An 18,525-nucleotide genomic window follows, 5' to 3' on the forward strand; every position below is an offset into this window, starting at 1 on the left:
CTGTTGTCACTGGCAATGCTCATTTGCTATAGAAACAGGGAATGTAAAGAGTGTATCAAAACAAAGGTACAGCAGCCGGGCGCGGTGACTCACGCCTGTAATCCCACCACTTTGGGAGGCTGAGGCGGGCAGCTCATGAGGTCAGGAGATCGAGACCATCCTGGCTAACACGGTGAAACCCCGTCTCTACTAAAAATACAAAAAATTAGCCGGGCATGGTGGTGGGTGCCTGTACTCCCAGCTACTCAGGAGGCTGAGGCAGGAGAATGGCGTGAACTCGGGAGGCAGCTTGCAGTGAGCCGAGATCGCGCTACTGCACTCCAGCCTGGGCAACAGAGCAAGACTCCGTCTCAAAAAAACAAAAAACAAAGGTACAGCAGATTAAGAGAAATAACACATAATACTACATGGTGACTTGATGGTAGATTATATTGGTAGGTTGACAATCAGTATGGACAAAAACAATCAACAAGCATTAGGATACTATCTCTAGTCCCAGTTTTATAGTCACCGTCTATTTCACAACTTTTCTGGAACTTGGCTTTCTCATCTATAAAATGGCAGTGAGGCCGGGCGCAGTGGATCATGCCTGTAATCCCAGCACTTTGGAAGGCCAAGGCGGGTGGATGAACTGAGGTCAGGAGTTTGAGACCAGCCTGGCTAACATGGTGAAGCCCTGTCTCTACTAAAAATACAAAAAAATTAGCCGGGCATGGTGGCGGGCACCTTTAGTCCCAGCTACTGGGGAGGCTGAGGCAGGAGAATGGCGTGAACCCGGGAGGTGGAGCTTGCCGTGAGCCAAGATTGCGCCACTGCACTCCAGCCTGGGCGACAGAGCAAGACTCCGTCTGAAAAAAAAACAAAAACAAAAACAAAAACTGTAGTGGTTGGGCATGGGGTCTAACACCTGAAACCCCAACACTTTGGGAGGCCAAGACAAGGGACTGAGGCCAGAAGTTCGAGACCAAACTGGTCAACATGGTGAGACCCCACCTCTAATTTAAAAATAATAAAAATTTGGCCGGGCACAGTGGCTCAAGCCTGTAATCTCAGCACTTTGGGAGGCCAAGGCAGGCAGATCACCTGAGGTCGGGAGGTGGAGACCAGCCTGACCAACATAGAGAAACCCCTTCTCTACTAAAAATACAGAATTAGCCAGGTATGATGGTAGATGCTTGTAATCCCAGCTTTTCCGGAGGCTGAGGGAGGAGAATCAGTTGAACCCGGGAGGCGGAGGTTGCAGTGAGCTGAGATCATGTCATTGGTCTCCAGTTGGGGCAACAAGAGCGAAACTCCATCTCAAAAATAAACATTTTTAAAAAATTAAAAAGGGGCTGGGCATAGTGGCTCACGCCTGTAAACCCAGCACATTGGGAGGCTAAGGCAGATAGATCACTTAAGATCAGGGGTTTGAGCCCGGCCTGGACAATATGGCGAAACACTCTCTATAAAAAATACAAGAATTAGCTGTGGTGGCATGCACCTGCGGTTCTAGCTACTCACGAGGCTGAGCAGGGAGGATCTCTTAAGACCTGGAGGTGGAGGTTGCAGTGAGCCAAGATCACACCATTGCACCACTCCAGACTAGGCAACAGAGGCATAACCTCTTTCAAAAAGACCTAAGACGGGAGGCTGAGGCAGGAGAATGGCGTGAACCCGGGAGGCGGAGCTTGCAGTGAGCCAAGATTGTGCCACTGCACTACAGCCTGGGAGACGGAATGATGCTCCATCTCAAAAAACCACCACCAAAAGAAACCCTAAGAAACAAAAATTAAAATAATAAAGACTGTAGTGACCTGTATATTTAAGGTTCTGAGGATGGATATATATAGATATTTTCTGTCCCTCAATATTCTTGAATAGGCCAGGCGTGGTGGCTCATGCCGTAATCCCTGCACTTTGGGAGGCTGAGGCGGGTGGATCACCTAAGGTCAGGAGTTCGAGACCAGCCTGGCATACGTGATAAAACCCTGTCTCGACTAAAAATAGAAAAAAAATTAGCTGGGCGTGGTGGCATGCACCTATGACCCCCCAGCTACTCAGGAGGCTGAGGTTGCAGTGAGCTGAAATTGCACCACTACACTCCAGCCTGGGCAACAAGAGGAAAACTCCGTCTCAAAAAAAAAATCCTTGAATAAGGAACGAAAACTTTATTTTAGGTTAGGGAGTATTTACTTATGATAAGTGCAGGCTAGAATGGTTCAGTGTTTTATCAGCAACAAAGGCAAAATCAGAACTTTTTCCTTGCCACATGTGCTACCCTATACCCTATGCTCCGTGCCTCACTTAATATACAGAAAATACCTGGAAATCCACGATACTATGGCCCAATTTTTCTGCTAGTATACTTGCATATTAACATGGGACCTAGAGAAACTTTTGGAACAAGGTGATATTTATAAAACTGTTATTCTTTGTTTGGCATCAGTATCAGTCTGTCAGAAACACCAAGTAGCTTTATTTCCTTCTTGAAATGTTACTTCTAAGCAGGCCTATTTATGTTTTTTCTAAGCCTCAATTTTCTATTTAATATTTCTCAGAATAAAGAAAACAGCTCATTTTAAACAAGAAGTTTATTTAAACAACAAGACGCTTGACTTGAAGGGAAAACTATCTAGGATTCTTTTTTGTTTTAGAGTAATTTATCCCTACTTAAAGACAGATTGCCCTACATGTAACAGCTACGTACAAAAAAGTTATAAAATTGTCCTTGGTTTTACAATGATAAATGAAAAACATTAAAATTCTCCAATTGAACAAGGTATGCAAGGATTTTTATGTTGTTGTTTTTTTTTTTTGTTAAAACAGTGAGAGCAAAATAACTTACTGGAATATAAAGATAAGAGCTGAATGAGCATGCCACTAATGGAGAAAGGGGGTATTTTCACAGAATCAGTATTTTTCCCCATCCCGTCTCCACTTGATGTCAATCAAAACATACCATTGGCTGTTTAGTTAAAAAAAAAAAAAATGCAATATGCTTGTGCACATATACCAGTTACTTTATGTACAATAAAGGAATGGGGAAGGGGGAAATGAAAGAATAGAGAAAACTATACGGTAGTAGTCAGGATGTGGTGGAACCAAATTGCAGTTTTCTAATTGAGAATGTAATCTTGGTCTTTAAAGAACAGAGTTCTGGAGTAAAGAAGCAGGTTCCCTTTTCAGTAGACACCTCCCGTCTGCTGTTGGAACACATCAATTGTATCTTCATCCTCCATTTCCAACTAGCATAAAAGAAAAAACAAATGTAAAAGCACTGATTAAGTTCTGAAAATTAATGATTTTTGGGTTTAAGTATGCTGAAAACATGTACATGTTCCACTAAGTTCCAAGTTTCATTATTTTAGATGTCTCATAGCTTAATGTATCAACACACTTGGTTTAAGTAATTTTTCACTTGGCTTCCTTTTTTATGACTATTAGATAAAACTTTTTTGTTTTTTTTTTGAGACAGGATTTCTGTCACCCAGGCTGGACTGCAGTGGCGTGATCTCAGCTCACTGCAACGTCCACCCCTCAGGTTCAAGCAATTCTCCTGCCTCAGTCTCCCAAGTAGCTGAGATTACAGGCATCCGCCACCATGCCCAGCTAATTTTTTTGTATTTTTAGTAGAGATGGGGTTTCGTCATGTTGGCCAGGCTGGTCTCAAACTCCTGAGCTCAAGTGATCTGCCTGCCTCGGCCTCCCAAAGTGCTGGGATTACAGGTGTGAGCCACTGCGCCCAGCCAAAACTTAGTTTTTGAGTAAAAAGCAGAATATTAGCCAGGTGCGGTGGCTCATGCCTGTAATCCCAGTACTACTGGAGGCCAACATTGGAGGATTGCTTGAGCCCAAGAGACCGAGACCACCTGGGCAACATAGGGAGACAACATCTCTACAAAAAAAAAAAGGAAAAAAAAAAAAAATTAGCCAGCCATGGTGACACATGTCCATACTCCCAGCTACTCAGGAAGCCGAGGTGGGAGGATCAATTGAGCCCATAAGATCAAGGCTGCAGTGAACTGAGACCACACCAGCTCACTCCAGCCTGAGTGACAAAGCAAAAGATCCTGTATCAAAAAAAGAGAAAAAAAGGCTAGGGCCACGCACAATGGCTCACTCCTGTAATCTCAACACTTTGGGAGGCTGAAGTGGGCGGGTCACCTGAGGTCAGGAGTTCAAGACCAGCCTGGCCAACCTGGTGACACCCCATCCCTATTAAAAAAAAATTTTTTTTTTTTTTTTGAGACGGAGTCTCCCTGTGTCGCCCAGGCTGGAGTCCAGTGGCAGGATCTCAGCTCACTGCAAGCTCCGCCTCCTGGGTTCACGCCATTCTCCTGCCTCAGCCTCCCGAGTAGCTGGGACTACAGGTGCCCGCCACAACGCCTGGCTAATTTTTTGTATTTTTAGTAGAGACGGGGTTTCACCGTGTTAGCCAGGACAGTCTAGATCTCCTGACCTCATGATCCACCCTCCTCGGCCTCCCAAAATGCTGGGATTATAGGCGTGAACCACTGCACCCGGCCTAAAAATATTTTTTAAATTAGCCGGGCATGGTGGCATGTGCCCGTAATCCCAGCTATTCGGGAGGCTGAGGCAGGAGAATCGCTTGAACCCAGGAAGCAGAGGTTGTGGTGAGCCAAGATTGTGCCACTGGACTCCAACACCGGTGACAGAGTGAGACTTGGTCTCAAAAAAAAAAAAAAAGGTGGGGGGGGGCGGGTGTGGCAGCTCACACCTGTAATCTCAACACTTTGGGAGGCCGAGGCAGGCAGATCACCTGAGGTCGGGAGTTCAAGACCAGCCTGGCCAAAATGGTGAAACCCAGTCTCTACTAAAAATACAAAAAACAAAACAAAAAAATTAGCTGGGCGTGGTGGCGCACGCCTGCACGCCTGTAATCCCAGCTACTTGGGAGGCTGAGGCAGGAGAATCACTTGAACCCAGGAGGTGGAGGTTGCAGTGAGCCAAGATCATGCCATTGCATGTGACAAGAAACTGTCTCAAAAAAATTAAATAAATGAAAGCTGAATATGTCTGTGTCGAGGGCCCACAGAAGGGTGATATGTTTAAAGAATCTCGCTGCACTGCTTAGCAAAGACTGAAAACAAATCTCAATAAAAACCCAAATTAGGCTGGGCGCCGGGGCTCACGCCTATAATCCCAACACTTTGGGAGGCCAAGGTGGGCGGATCACCAGGTCAACAGGTCAAACCCATCCTGGCCAACATGGTGAAACCCTGTTTCTACCAAAAATACAAAAATTAGCTGGGTGTGGTTGCGCACGCCTGTAGTCCCAGCTACTCGGGAGGCTGAGGCAGGAGAATCACTTGAACCCGTGAAGTGGAGGTTACAGTGAGCTGTGATTGCCCCACTGCACTCCAGCCTGGCAACAGAGCAAGACTCTGTCTCAAAAAACAAAAACAAAAACAAAAAACACCAAAACAAAAAACCCACGGCAGGCGTGGTGGCTCACAAGGTCAGTCATTCGAGACCAGCCTGGCCAACATAGTGAAACCCCGTCTCTACTAAAAATACAAAAAATTAGCTGGGCATGGTGGCAGGTGCCTGTAATCCCAGCCACTCAGGAGGCTGAGGCAGGAGAATCACTTGAACCTGGGAGGTGGAGGTTATAGTGAGCTGAGATCACGCCACTGCACTCCAGCCTGGGTGACAGTGCGAGACTCCAGGTCTCAAAAAAAAAAAAAAAAAACCCAAATTAATAAAACATAGTATGCTCAGATATTAAATACCATATAGCCGTTAAAAAATAAGATTTTCATGTACAGAAATGAAAATATCTTTAAGATACAGTAGATACAGTGTTAGGCTAAAAACACAATTTTAAAACTAAGCAGCAGCCAACTCGGTGCACTGACTATATAAGTTAGCCATGCTCTGTAAGGGGCAGTTAAAAAAAAAAAAAAGTACACCCCAAGGAGCAAAGCAGCTTATTGTATGACTACATTTGTGTTTTTCTATTTTTTCTTGCGATGGAGTTTCGCTGTTGTTGCCCAGGGTGGAGTGCAATGGCGCAATCTTGGCTCACTGCAACCTCTGCCTCCCGGGTCAAGCAATTCTCCTGCCTCAGCCTCCCAAGTAGCTGGGATTACAGGCATGCGCCATCATGCCCAGCTAATTTTGTACTGACTCCGTCAATACAGAAAATAAAATAAAAACAACATAAACAAATAAAATAAAAACAAAATTAGCCAGGCATCATGGTGGGCGCCTGTAATCCCAGCTACTCGGGAAGCTGAGGCAGGAGAATCGCTTGAACCCAGGAAGCAGAGGTTGCAGTGAGCTGAGATCACGCCACTGCACTCCAGTCTGGGAGACAGGGCAAAACTCCGTCTCGAAAAATAAAAAAATAAAAAAAAGCTGGGGAGGCAGGAGGCCTGCTAAGATGTTTTAATTTATCACAATCCTGCTATCTAACAAATATTGGGAGAATAATTCTAAAACGAATCAATTCCAAATTCTTCAAAATGAAGTAAAATGAATTGCAAATTCAACCTGAAGATTTTAAAATGCCTCAAGGTCACGGATCCAAACAAATAACTCCTTGTTTAATATTTGTAACTACTATAGCAGATAATCCCGTTTTAGTGGTGGGTAAGGAGGGCTTAAAGACAGGAAATACATTCTAATAACTGAGAGTACAGCACAATAGATACTTTTTACTATTTCTTTTAAAACCAAACAAGCCTGTCATCTATCTACTAAAACAAAATTATCCAAATGTGAAGTTTTACAGTGAAACTGTAAATGCCTTTAAAAAATGAGGTTCCTGTACCAGCCTCATTTATCAATAGAATTTAGCTCCTCCTTGTGGCTACATACCATAATTGCGCCTTTTTTTTTTTTTTTGACAGGGTTTCACTCTTTCACCCAAGCTAGAGTGAAGTGGCATGACCTCCGCGCTCACTGCAACCTCGACTGTCTGACACCTTTCCCCCGCCCAGATTCTCCTGGCTCAATCTCCCGAGTAGCTGGGATGGGATTACAGGTGAGCACCACCATGCCCGGCTAATTTTTGTATTTTTAGTAGAGACGGGGTAGTTTCGCCATGTTGGCCAGGCTGGTCTTGAACTGCTGACCTCAGGTGATCAACTTGCCTTGGCCTCCCAAAGTGCTAGGATTACAGTCGTGAGCTACTGTACCCAGACTTTTTTTTTTTTTTTTTTGAGACAGGGGCTGTTACCCAGGCTGGAGTGCAGTGGCACTATCTCTGCTGACTTTAATCTCCGCCTCTCGGGTTCAGGTGATTCTCCTGCCTCAGCCTCCTGAGTAGCTGGGACTACAGGCGTGCACCATCATGCCTGGCTAAATTTTTTTTTTTTTTTTTTGAGTTTCGCTCGTTACCCATGCTCGAGTGCAATGGCGTGATCTCCGGCTCACTGCAACCTCTGCCTCCTGGGTTCAAGCGATTCTCCTGCCTCAGCCTCCCGAGCAGCTGGGATTACAGGCCACCACACCCAGCTAATTTTGTATTTTTAGTAGAGACGGGGTTTCTCCATGTTGGTCGGAGTGGTCTCAAACTCCCAACCTCAGGTGATCCGCCCACCTCGGCCTCCCAAAGTGCTGGGATCACAGGCATGAGCCACTGCGCCCGGCGATGCCTGGCTAATTTTTGTATTTTTTGGCAGACACGGGGTTTCACCATATTGTCCAGGCTGGTCTCAAACTCCTGACCTCAAGCAATCTGCCTGCCTCAGCCTCCTGAAGTGCTAGGATGACAGGTGTGAACAAGTGCACCTGGCCCGTAATTCCTTTTGAGAGACTGTCACCAGTTGAAATGTCTTCAAAATATTCTTCTTTTCAGTACAACTCAGGGGCTTTTCCAATTTTCAAAGATTATCAACAAAACTACAATCTGGATGTGCTGCTTCATGCCACATTTATCACTTTCTAGTTTTTACTGGGTGATAAAGTTGAAATTCAAAAGTACATGGGATCCAATTTAAATTTCTACTATCACAACATTGTAAAATATGTTTCAGAAACTGTAAGTCTTCTATTTTTGAGACAGAGTTTTGCTCTATCGCCCAGGCTGGAGTGCAGTAGTATGATCATAACTCACTGCGGCCTGAAACTCCTGGACTCAAGCACCCCTCCCACTAAACTTCCCAAGAAGCTGGGACTACAGACACATGCTACCATGCCCAGCTCTTTTTCTTTCCTGTAGAGACCAGGTCTTGCTATATTGCCCAGACTGGTCTTAAACTCCTGGCCTCAAGCAACCCTCCTGCCAGTGTCAGTTTCCTAAAGTGATAGGACTACAGGTGTGAGCCACCAAGTCAGGACAAGACTGGAAGTCATTTTTTTTTTTTTTTGAGAGAGGGCCTCACTTTGTCACCCAGGCTGGTGTGCAGTGGTACCATCTTGGGTGACGGCAGCCTCCACTTCCTGGGCTCAAGCAATCCTTCCACCTCACCCTAAGAAGTAGCTGGTACTACAGGCACGTACCACTGCTCCCTGGCTAATTTTTGTATTTTTTTGTAAAGAGAGGGTTTTGCCATGTTGCCCAGGCTGGTCTTGAAATCCTGGACTCAAGTGCTCCGCCCACCTTGGCGTCACAGTGCTGGCATTACAAGCACTTTGTAATCTTGAAAATGGCTCTCATGAGCCACCCTGCTAGGACAAAACTGGAAGTATTTAATGGAACTTTGAAAGGGTAAAAAGAAACAAAGAGCTTCTGCCACAGAAGACAATCCAGCTGATCCTACAGAAAGTGACAGAACAAAATGAAGTGGTACATAAAGAGTTAAAGGATCAGAGAGCATCACGTTTTGTAGTAAGGATCTGGAAAATCTCCTATTATCAGGGGCTCTCCCTGTCAAACAAAGCTATGGGACGTGGCAATTAGGGCTATTAGTTCCTTTTTGTTCATGAAGACACGTAAAAGAGAATTTCAATTCAGCATGTAGAACTAAAATGGTGAGGATTTGGCTGGGTGCGGTGGCTCACACCTGTCAATCCCAACACTTTGGGAGGCCAAGGCGGGCGGATTACTTGTGGTCAGCAGTTCAAGACCAGCCTGGCCAACATGGTGAAACCCCATCCCTACCAAAAATACAAAAATTAGCCAGGCATGGTGGTGCATGCCTGTAATCCCAGCTACTCTGGGAGGCTGAGGCAGGAGAATTGCTTAAGCATGGCAGGCGAGGGCTGCCATGACCCAAGATCGTGACACTGTACTCAAGCCTGGGCGATGGAGTGAGATTCCGTCACAAAAAACAAACACAAACCACTGGTGGGGTTGGGCACATTGATTCGTGCCTATAATCCCATCACTTTGGGAGGCCAAGGCTGCAGTGAGCTATAATGAGGCCACTACACTTCAACCCGGGCAACAGAGAGGCCCTGTCCCTAAAAAAATAATTAAAATGAAAATTAAAAATAAATGAATAAAAACCATTGGCATTTCCTGAGCCTATTCCTATTTTCCTTTCTGTTCCCCTCTGGTCATACTTCCCAAAGCTCTGAACTCTACAAGAACTTATACTCCAGTGTCTAAACGTTCAAATTCATAAACACAGCTGTTCAAAGAATTACAAATGGTAATTTTTCTAATTAGGAGAGATTTTTTTACCTGTGCAGGTGTGTCTGTTTCATTGATTGGTTGCCCGTCAAATCGGAATCTGATCTGCCTCATTGACAATCCCTGAACGAGAATTTAAAAGCAATAAACAGCATTAAGAGAAACAGAATTCTATTTACATAAAAGTACATGCATATTTAACCATGAATATATTAAAGAAATACCTAAATAAACAATTGCCAACATGTTAACATACCCTATAGGTAAAAAGATTTGGGGTGATTTTCATTTTCTTTTTTTTGAGACAGTTTTGATCTGTTGTCAAGGCTGAAGTGCAGTGGCGTGATCTCAGCTCAAGGCAACCTACACCTCCTGGTTCAAGCGATTCTTCTGCCTTAGCCTCCCAAGAGTAGCTGGGACTACGGTCCCCCGCCACAACAACCGGCTAATTTTTGTAGTTTTAGTAGAGACTGGGTTTCATCAGGTTGGCCAGGCTGGTCTCGAACTCCTAACCTCAGGTGCTCCGTCCGCCTCAGCCTCCCAAAGTGCTGGGATTACAGGAGTGAGCCATGGTGCCCAGCCTCTCATTTTCAGTGAACAGTAAGATGTAGTATTTTTTTTCCTTTTCTTTTTTTTTTGAGACAGAGTCTTGCTCTGTCACTCAGGCTGGAGGGCAGTGTCGCGATCTCGGCTCACTGCAACCTCCACCTTTTGGGTTCAAGCAATTTTCCTGCCTCAGCCTCCTGATTAGCTGGGACTAGGCAGGCGCCACCATGCCTGGCTAATTTTTGTATTTTTTAGTAGAAACAGGGTTTCGCCATGTTGGCCAGGCTGGTCTCGAACTCCTGACCTCAGATGATCTGACCACCTCAGCCTCCCAAAGTGCTGGGATTACAGGCATAAGACACTGTGCCCGGCCTGTTTGTTGTTGTTGTTTTTGTTTGTTTGTTAAGACAGAGTTTTGCTATGTCGCCCAGGCTGGAGTGCAGTGGTGCGATCTTGGCTCACTGCAACCTCCGCCTCCTGGGTTCGAGTGGTTCTCCTGCCTCAGCCTCCCGAGTAGCTGGGATTACAGGCGCTTGCCATCATGCCCAGCTAATTTTTGTGTTTTTAGTAGAGACAGGGTTTCACCATGTTGGCCAGACTGATCTCGAACTCCTGACCTCAAGTGATCCACTCACCTCAGCCTCACAAAACGCTGGGATTACAGGTGTGAGCCACTGCGCCCAGCCAGTAAGTCATTCTTTTAGAAAGCTTTACTGCTTTTCAGACACAGCTACTATAATGTTAAATAGAACATACCTTGAGACAAATATGCATTTAAATGAGTTAGACAAGGAAATGAAATTTTTTTTTTTTAAATGGAGTCTCGCTCTGTCGCCCAGGCTGGAGTGAGTGGAACAATCTCAGTTCAACGCAACCTCCACCACCGGAGTTCAAGTGACTTTCCTGCCTCAGCCTCCTCAGTAGCTGGGACTACAGGCTCATGCCACCATGCTGGGCTAATTTTTTGTATTTTAGTAGAGATGGGGTTTCACCGTGTTAGCCAGGATGGTCTCAATTTCCTGACCTCGTGATCCGCCTGGCTGGCCACTAACAGGAAATTTAAAGGAAAAAAATGCCCATTTAAAGACTCCAGTCTGAGCTCGGGGGCTCACACTGTAATTCCAACACTTTAGGAGACCAAGGCAGATCATCTGAGGTCTGGAGTTCAAGATCAGCCTGGCCAATATGGTGAAACCCCGCCTCTACTGAAAATACAAAAATTAGCCGAGTGTGGTGGCATCCGCCTGTAATCCCAGCTATTCGGGAGGCTGAGGCAGGAGGATCGCTTGAACCTGGGAGGCGGAGTTTGCAGTGAGCCAAGATCGTGCCCTAGCACTCCAGCCTGGGTGACAGACCAGATTCAATATCAAAAACAACAACAACAACAACAAAACCGACCTAAAATGCCCCAACCTACACCCTTGAACTTCCTGGAATAGCTTTAAAAAAGCACCGCTTTTTAATTTCCTTTAATACTTACCCAAATCTGTAATTACTTACTGTCTTACTAAAAAACACACTTCAGGAGATATAGGAACCTAGACTGTTTTAGTTACACAGTCTATCCCTTGCACATAGTAGGTGCTGCTCAGTAAGTATCAGTGGCATAAAAGGGATGAAAAACAGTATATAACCATCATCTACTTAAAAACAAAGGCCAAGTATTGTGGCTCACGCCTGTAATCCTAGCACCTTGGGAGACTGAGGTGGAAGATCACCTGAGGTCAGGAGTTCGAGACCAGCCTGTCCAACATGGTGAAACCCCGTCTCTACTAAAAACACAAAAATTGGCTGAGCACAATGGCACACACCTGTAGTCCCAGCTACTCCAGCCGGAGGTTGAGGGGGGAAAATTGCATGAACCCGGGAGGTGGAGGTTGCAATGAGCCGAGATCGTGCCATTGCAAGAGCGAGACTCTTGTCTCAAAAAAAAAAAAAAATTAATTAATTAAATAAATAAAAATACAAAAAATTAGCCAGGCTAGGTGGCAGGCGCTGTAATCCCAGTTATTCAAGAGGCTGAGGCAGGAGAATTGCTTGAACCCAGGAGCAGAGGTTGCAGTGAGCTGAGATCATGCCACTGCACTCCAGCCTGGGCAACAGAGCAAGACTCCATCTCAAAAAAAAAGAAATTAAAAAATTTGCATGGTGGCCAGGTGCAGTGGCTCACGCCTATAATCCCAACATTTTGGAAGGCCAAGGCAGGTGGATTACCTGAGGTCAGGAGTTTCAGAGCAGCCAACCTGATCAACATGGTGAAGCCCCGTCTCTACTAAAAATACAAAATTAGCCAGGCGTGGTGGTGCATGCCTGTAATCCCAGCTACTTGTGAGGCTGAGGCAGGAGAATCACTGGAACCTGGGAGGCGGAGGTTCCAGTAAGCCTAGATTGCGCCATTGCATTCAGCCTCAGTAACAAGAGGAAAACTCCATCTTAAAAAAAAAAAAGAAAAGAAAAGCCAGGCGTAGTGCTTCATGCCTGTAATCCCAGCACTTTGGGAGGCCGAGGTGGCGAGACGGGTGGGTCACCTGAGCTCAGGAGTTCAAGACCAGCCTGGCCAACGTGGTAAAACCCCGTTTCTACGAAAAATAAATTAGCCGAGCACGGTGGTAGGTGCCTATAATCCCACCTACTCAGGAGGCTGAGGCAGGAGAATTGCTTGAACCCGGGAGGTGGAGGTTGCAGTGAGCCGAGATTATGTCACTACACTCCAGTCTGACCGACAAAGCGAGACTCCGTCTCAAAAAAAAAAAAAAAAAAAAAAAGAATCGCCCAGTGGCACAAGCCTATAGTCCCAACTACCTGGGAGCCTGAGGTGGGAGGACTGCTTGAGCCTGGGAGGCAGAGGATGCAGTGAGCCATGATCATAATCCTCCCACTGCACTTCAGCATGGGCAACAGGGCAAAAGCCTGTCTCAAAAAAAAAAAGGCAAAATTTTGCAATTGCAGAAAAGTTAAATAAGATATGCATAAGAATAGTGTTCAAGGCCAGGCACCAGTGGCTCACACCTGTAATCCCAGCACTTTGGGAGGCCGAAGCAGGCGGATCACGAGGTCAAGAGATCGAGATCATCCTGGCCAATATTGTGAAACCCCGTCTCTACAAAAAATACAAAAATTGGCTGGGCACGGTGGCACGCACCTGTAGTCCCAGCTACTTGGGAGGCTGAGGCAGGAGAATCGCTTGAACCCAGGAGGCAGAGGTTGCAGTGAGCCGAGATGGTGCCACTGCACTCCAGCCTGGGCAACAGTGCGAGACTCTCAAAAAAAAAAAAAAAAAAGAAAAGAATACTGTTCAAAACCACCAAACTGAAGCATGATTCTGTTTGTTTGTGGTTTTGAGACAGGGTCTCATTCTGTCACCCACACTGGAGTGCAGCGATGAGATCATGGCTCACTGCAGCCTAGACCTGCCAAGCTCAAGCAATCCTCCCACCTCTGTCACTGAAATAGCCTGGACTACAGGTATGTGCCACCACAACCACCTAATTTTTTTTTAAGAGATGAGGTCTGGGCCAGGCGCAGTGGCTCATGCCTGTAAACCCAGCACTTTGGGAGGCTGAGGCGGGTGGTTCACGAGGTCCTGTAATCCCAGTGACTTGGGAGGCTGAGGCAGAAGAATCGCTTAAAACTGGAAGGCGGAGGATGCAGTGAGCCGAGATTGCGCCACTGCACTCTAGCCTGGGCAATAAGAGCAAAACTCCACCTCAAAACAAAACAAAAAAACCAGATGAGGTCTTACTATGTTGTCCAGACTGGTCTTCCAGCCTTGGCCTCCCAAAGTGCTGGATTACCACGCCCAGCCTATGATTTTCTATTTTGTATGCAGTTTTGCTAAAGAAGTTCTCCAAAAGGATTACCTTTTAAAATTCCCCTGTATCCTGAAGGGGCACTAGTGTTCAAATATAGAAGATGCCAGTTTATAAATTATTTAACACAATTCATAAGTTCATGTAGGGTGATTTCAGCAAAATTCTTCAAATAAGAGTATATGGTATCTTGCTGGGCACAGTGGCTCACGCCTGTAATCCCAGCACTTTGGGAGGATGAGGCAGGTGGATCACCTGAGGTCAGGAGCTCAAGACCAGTCTGACCAATATGGTGAAACCCCATCTTGCTGACAATACAAAAATTAGCTGGGCGTGGTGGCGTGCGCCCGTAGTCCCACCTACTCGGGAGACTGAGACAGGAGAATCGCTTGGTCTCGGGAGGCAGAAGTTGCAGTGAGTCGAGATTGCACTACTGCACTCCATCCTGGACAACAGAGCGAGACTCTGTCTCAAAAAAAAAAAAAAAAAAGGTATCTTTATAAGGAACTACATACAAGAAGGTTTACATATCAATTATGAGCACAGTATTTTCTTATTACATTGTAAATACACTAGGCATAAAAATACTTCAAACATTCTAAAGTTTTTTTTTTTTTTTCCTTTGAAATGCTCTCGCTCTGTCACCCAGGCTAGAGTGCAGTGGTGTGATCTTGGCTCACTGCAGCCTCCACCTCCCAGGTTCAAGGGATTCTCAGCCTCAGCCTCCGGAGTAGGTGGGATTATGCGCGTGTAACACCACGCCCAGCTAATTTTTTTGGATTTTTAGTAGAAATGGGATTTTGCCATGGTGGCCAGGCTGATGTCAACTGCCACCTGCCTCAGTCTCCCAAAGTGCTGGGATTACAGATATGAGCCACTGCATCAGGCCTAAAGGAAGTTTTTATCTTCACTGATCTTTCAAGTATAAACTCAAACTCAATTTCCCAACTTACATAGGTTTAAGCCTTATTCTATTTTGAGCCTATTTAGAACAATCTGAAGGGGCCAGGCACAGTGGCCCATGCTTGTAATCCCAGCACTCTGAGAGGCCAAGGTGGGCGGATCACTTGAGGTCAGGAGTTGAGGTCAGGTCTACTAAAAATACAAAATTAGCCGGGCGTGGTGGCGCACGCCTGAAATCCCAGGTACTCAGGAGGCTGAGGCATAAGAATAGCCTCAACTCAGGAGGCAGAGGTTGCAGTGAGCCAAGATTGCACCACTGCACTCCAGCCTGGGCAACAGAGCAAGACTCCATCAAAAACAAAAACAAAAATAAAACACAATTTACAAGGTAGATAAGTTCTAGCTTAAAAGAAATAGAGTGAGACTCCCAGCTTAAAAAAAAAAAAAAAAAAAAAAAAAAAAACGACTTCTTGGTTTGGCGCGGTGGCTCATGCTTGTAATCCCAGCACTTTGGAAGGCCGAGGCGGGCGGATCACCTGAGGTCAGGAGTTTGGAACCAGCCTAGCCAATACGGTGAAACCCCATCTCTACTAAAAATACAAAAAAAAAATTGGCCAGGCCTGGTAGTGGGCACCTGTAATCCCAGATACTCAGGAGACTGAGGCAGGAAAATCGCTTGAAGTGGAGGTTGCAGTGAGCTGAGCTCAGGCCACTGTACTTCAGCTTGGGCAACAAGAATGAAACTCCATCTCAAAAAAATAAAATAAAATAATAAAAGACTTATAAGTAATTTTACCAAGTTCACTCTTATTTTCTTATAAACATAAAATTACATTTCCTTGGTAAAAAAAAATTATTGTAAATATAATTTGATGGATTTCTGGCACAGGACTGGAACCACATATAATACTAACCAAATCATCCTAAGGGTTTTCACGAGCTATCAATATACCAAGTGCACGACAAAACTGACGTGCCAAGTGCATATTCATCCCATCAAAAAGTCACTGTAATGTGCTAGTCTAGTTTTTGTTCCCATGAAAATAAGATTTTTAAAAATAGTTTTATTCAGTGGAAGTACACATATGAATTCCTCACCTGTCGTTCACAATAGGCTTTCATTAGTTTACTAAGTGGTGTATGCCTCTTAATCTTAAACTGCACCACAGAACCATCCTGCCCCGCCACCTTCAAATTAATATGATCGTTGTTCTCAGTCTTGACTCCTTCCTGTTAAAAGAAAAATAAAAGTATAATTTGGGAAATGTGATCAACGAACACGTTTTATAAAGCAGCAGCAGCCCTAGTTGCTTCAAAAATCAACAGGTTTCTCATACTGTATGCTAAAACGGCATACTGCTGTTTTCAGCTGCTGAAATCAATGTGAAAGCGGAAAAATCCTGCAGTAACAGTATTAGATAGCTGTCAGATACGGAAAAGCCTACATGCAATACTATCAGTAGCAACAATATGTTTAAAGTTGGGTCCTATTCAGTGTATTGCAACGTTCTCTTGAAGTTAAACTTCCTAAAATGACATATATCACTCCCAAAATACTTTACCCCCCAAAAAAGTTAAAAATAGAGTCCCTTCTCTTTTCTAAGCACTTTAAGTACAACTGCAAGAAACAAAACAATAAATCTACAGCCTGCCATTCAAAACTCATTACCGTTGTCATTAAAAAGTTACCAAACTCAGTTTAATAACCTAAATCCAATCTCCATTAAAGGAAACACACAAACAAAAAAAACAATCGAAGAATATCCCGATTCCCCCCGGAACAGCGGTAATACTCAGTCAGGACCACAGTTAACGTTCTCCTCTATTAGCAGCTTCATTTTTATTTTCGGTTAAGAGCACTTATTCTCCCCTCCCCCCCTTTGTTGTCATGGGTCAAATACACAGTTTTATCCTGATTTGTTTCTTGTAGATTTCGACCCAACCTAAAGTTGTCCAAAATCGAGTGCAGAAGCAATTCTGTAGCCCTAAAACGCTCCAGAAAGTAAAGGCGCGGGAGGCGGGGGGTGCCACCAAACTAAAAGCAGCAAGTCCCGTGTGCCCCGATGATGGGTGTCCCCAAGTCCTCCCGGGAAGTCTCCGGGTGCCTCAAAAGCCGCGTTCAAAAGTTAAGCCGCACAAAGTCTCTCTGCTCGTACCTGTGCCTCCAACTTCATGAAACCACATGGTGTTCGCGGATTAGGGGTTCGTTGGCACCCAGGGAAAAGCCGCTGCCCCTCCCCCTTCGGGCCCCTGAGGCTATTAAAGTGGGAAATACTCCACGGGAATCCCCCTACCCCCAGGCCCAGGACGGCGGCCCGCGGGCATCCAGGTTCCTGCCCGTCCGCAGCCCATTGATTCGCCCCGAACCCTCGCCCCGCCGCCGCGGCCCCAGGCAGGGGTCCCCAGATGCCCGCGGTTCCTACCCGAGAGGTGAAGCCCGAGCCCAGAGGACTCCTCGCCGCCTCGGAGACTGCAACACCCGACGCGGGGTCGACAGAAGGTGGAGACCCCGCGCGCCCTAACGCCCCTCCTCACGCGCGCCGGCCGGCTGGGCCAAGAATCCCCGTTCGGGGCTGGTGGGTCCGCGGGCGTCCGCTTTCTGCCCGCCCAACTCGCGCCCGGCGCGCACTCGGAGGCCGCCGGGGGCGGGAGAGAGCGGCGGGGCCTCCTTCGGCGCGGGAGGGAGGAAGAGAGGGAGGGAGGAAAATGGCGCGGAGCGCCCGGGCCTGAGCCGCGGCCGGCCCCGTGGGGGGCCCGGGAAAGCGCTGGGAGCCAGCGGCGGGCTCTGGCCGGACCCCGGCCCGCGCCATGACCCCCACCGCGCGGCGAGGCGAAGGGGCCGGCGGCGAGCTCACCTTGGGCTTTTCGTCGGCCATGGCGAGCGCCGGAGTCTCCTCAGCTGCCGCTTCACAAAAGAGGTACCAGGTCCGCACCAAACGAGCACACAAGCAGCACCAGGAGCGGCAGAAGAAGGAGGCGGCAGCGGTGGACGAGGGGAGAGGGTGCGCGCACGTCGTGCGCTCCCTCCCCCCACCCTGCGTGCGCGAGCACGAGTAGCCGAAGCCTCCCATTGGCTGGCGCCTCGCGGGAGCGCGCAACGCTTACATAACCACCCCCACCCCCCGTCCCACGCCACCGCGTCCTGGGCCAGGCGCCCGCCCGGCCGGCGGGAAGAGGCGCGGACACGCGCACCCGGCCCGCCGCGGGGGCGCGCCTGGCTCTGGGCGGGGCTGTATTGTCCTCCTTCGTGGTGGAGCATAATCAAAATGGCTTCCAGCTGGTCCTCGGTGGGAACGATGAGGCTCGAGGCTTTAGACGTAAGCCATAGGCCAGGGAAGGCAGACTTACTAGAGGAGGAAGGGGATTCCTAAATCAAAGCCCCAGCATGAGGTTCTGGAAAAATCTCTCTCATTCAGTGGACCAGCAGCCCTCCCATGGTTACTTCCTCTCAGTCAATCTCAACCTGCTTCCCACCGGACTCTTGCCTAAAATGCAGTGTCTTCTTCTTCTTCTTCTTCTTCTTTTTTTTGAGACGGAGTCTCGCTCAGTCGCCCAGGCTGGAGTGCAGTGGCACGATCTCGGCTCACAGCAACCTCTGCCTCCCGGGTTCAAGTGATTCTCCTGCCTCAGCCTCCCGAGTAGCTGAGACTACAGGTACCCGCCACAACGCCCGGCTAATTTTTCGTAGAGACGGGGTTTCACCGTGTTAGCCAGGATGGTCTCGATCTCCTGACCTCGTGA

At 47.0% G+C, this 18,525-nt stretch overlaps 1 protein-coding gene across 2 annotated transcripts, besides 3 other annotated features; it reads right to left on the minus strand.

Annotated features, from left to right (window-relative positions):
• Positions 1-411: 411 nt before the first annotated feature.
• On the minus strand, positions 412-17,785 carry SUMO2 (small ubiquitin like modifier 2). 2 transcript variants are annotated; one of them, NM_006937.4, is made up of 4 exons: positions 17,640-17,785; positions 15,883-16,014; positions 9,578-9,649; positions 412-3,227 (listed from the first exon to the last, which is right to left on the minus strand). In NM_006937.4, exons 1-4 carry the CDS (start codon positions 17,658-17,660, stop codon positions 3,165-3,167), a joined length of 288 nt encoding a protein of 95 aa, NP_008868.3. In that variant the 5' UTR covers positions 17,661-17,785; the 3' UTR covers positions 412-3,164. The 2 variants fall into 2 exon arrangements, with proteins under 2 accessions (NP_008868.3, NP_001005849.1); NM_001005849.2 differs by lacking the exon at positions 9,578-9,649.
• Positions 17,093-17,743: an enhancer, noted in NCBI's record as "NANOG-H3K27ac-H3K4me1 hESC enhancer chr17:73178362-73179012 (GRCh37/hg19 assembly coordinates)". NCBI's record gives its function as "activates a minimal SCP1, AML or CMV promoter by ChIP-STARR-seq in primed H9 embryonic stem cells {active_cell/tissue: H9 hESC(primed)}" and the evidence as "EXISTENCE:reporter gene assay evidence [ECO:0000049][PMID:30033119]".
• Positions 17,325-17,724: a silencer, noted in NCBI's record as "silent region_8958". NCBI's record gives its function as "represses an Ori minimal core promoter by ATAC-STARR-seq in GM12878 lymphoblastoid cells {active_cell/tissue: GM12878}" and the evidence as "EXISTENCE:reporter gene assay evidence [ECO:0000049][PMID:35858748]".
• Positions 17,855-18,084: a silencer, noted in NCBI's record as "silent region_8959". NCBI's record gives its function as "represses an Ori minimal core promoter by ATAC-STARR-seq in GM12878 lymphoblastoid cells {active_cell/tissue: GM12878}" and the evidence as "EXISTENCE:reporter gene assay evidence [ECO:0000049][PMID:35858748]".

Source organism: Homo sapiens, chromosome 17 (assembly GCF_000001405.40).
Source record: "Homo sapiens chromosome 17, GRCh38.p14 Primary Assembly".
Lineage (NCBI taxonomy): Eukaryota > Metazoa > Chordata > Mammalia > Primates > Hominidae > Homo > Homo sapiens.

What these genes read in the sequence shown, in the direction of transcription:
- SUMO2 (NM_006937.4), bottom strand. Translation starts at nt 17,660, where the DNA reads ATGGCCGACGAAAAGCCCAAG. An exon ending in TGGCCGACGAAAAGCCCAAG is followed by an intron (nt 16,015 to 17,639) that starts GTGAGCTCGCCG and finishes TTCTTTTAACAG; the next exon opens with GAAGGAGTCAAGACTGAGAA. An exon ending in AAACAGACACACCTGCACAG is followed by an intron (nt 3,228 to 9,577) that starts GTAAAAAAATCT and finishes CTTTTATGCTAG; the next exon opens with TTGGAAATGGAGGATGAAGA.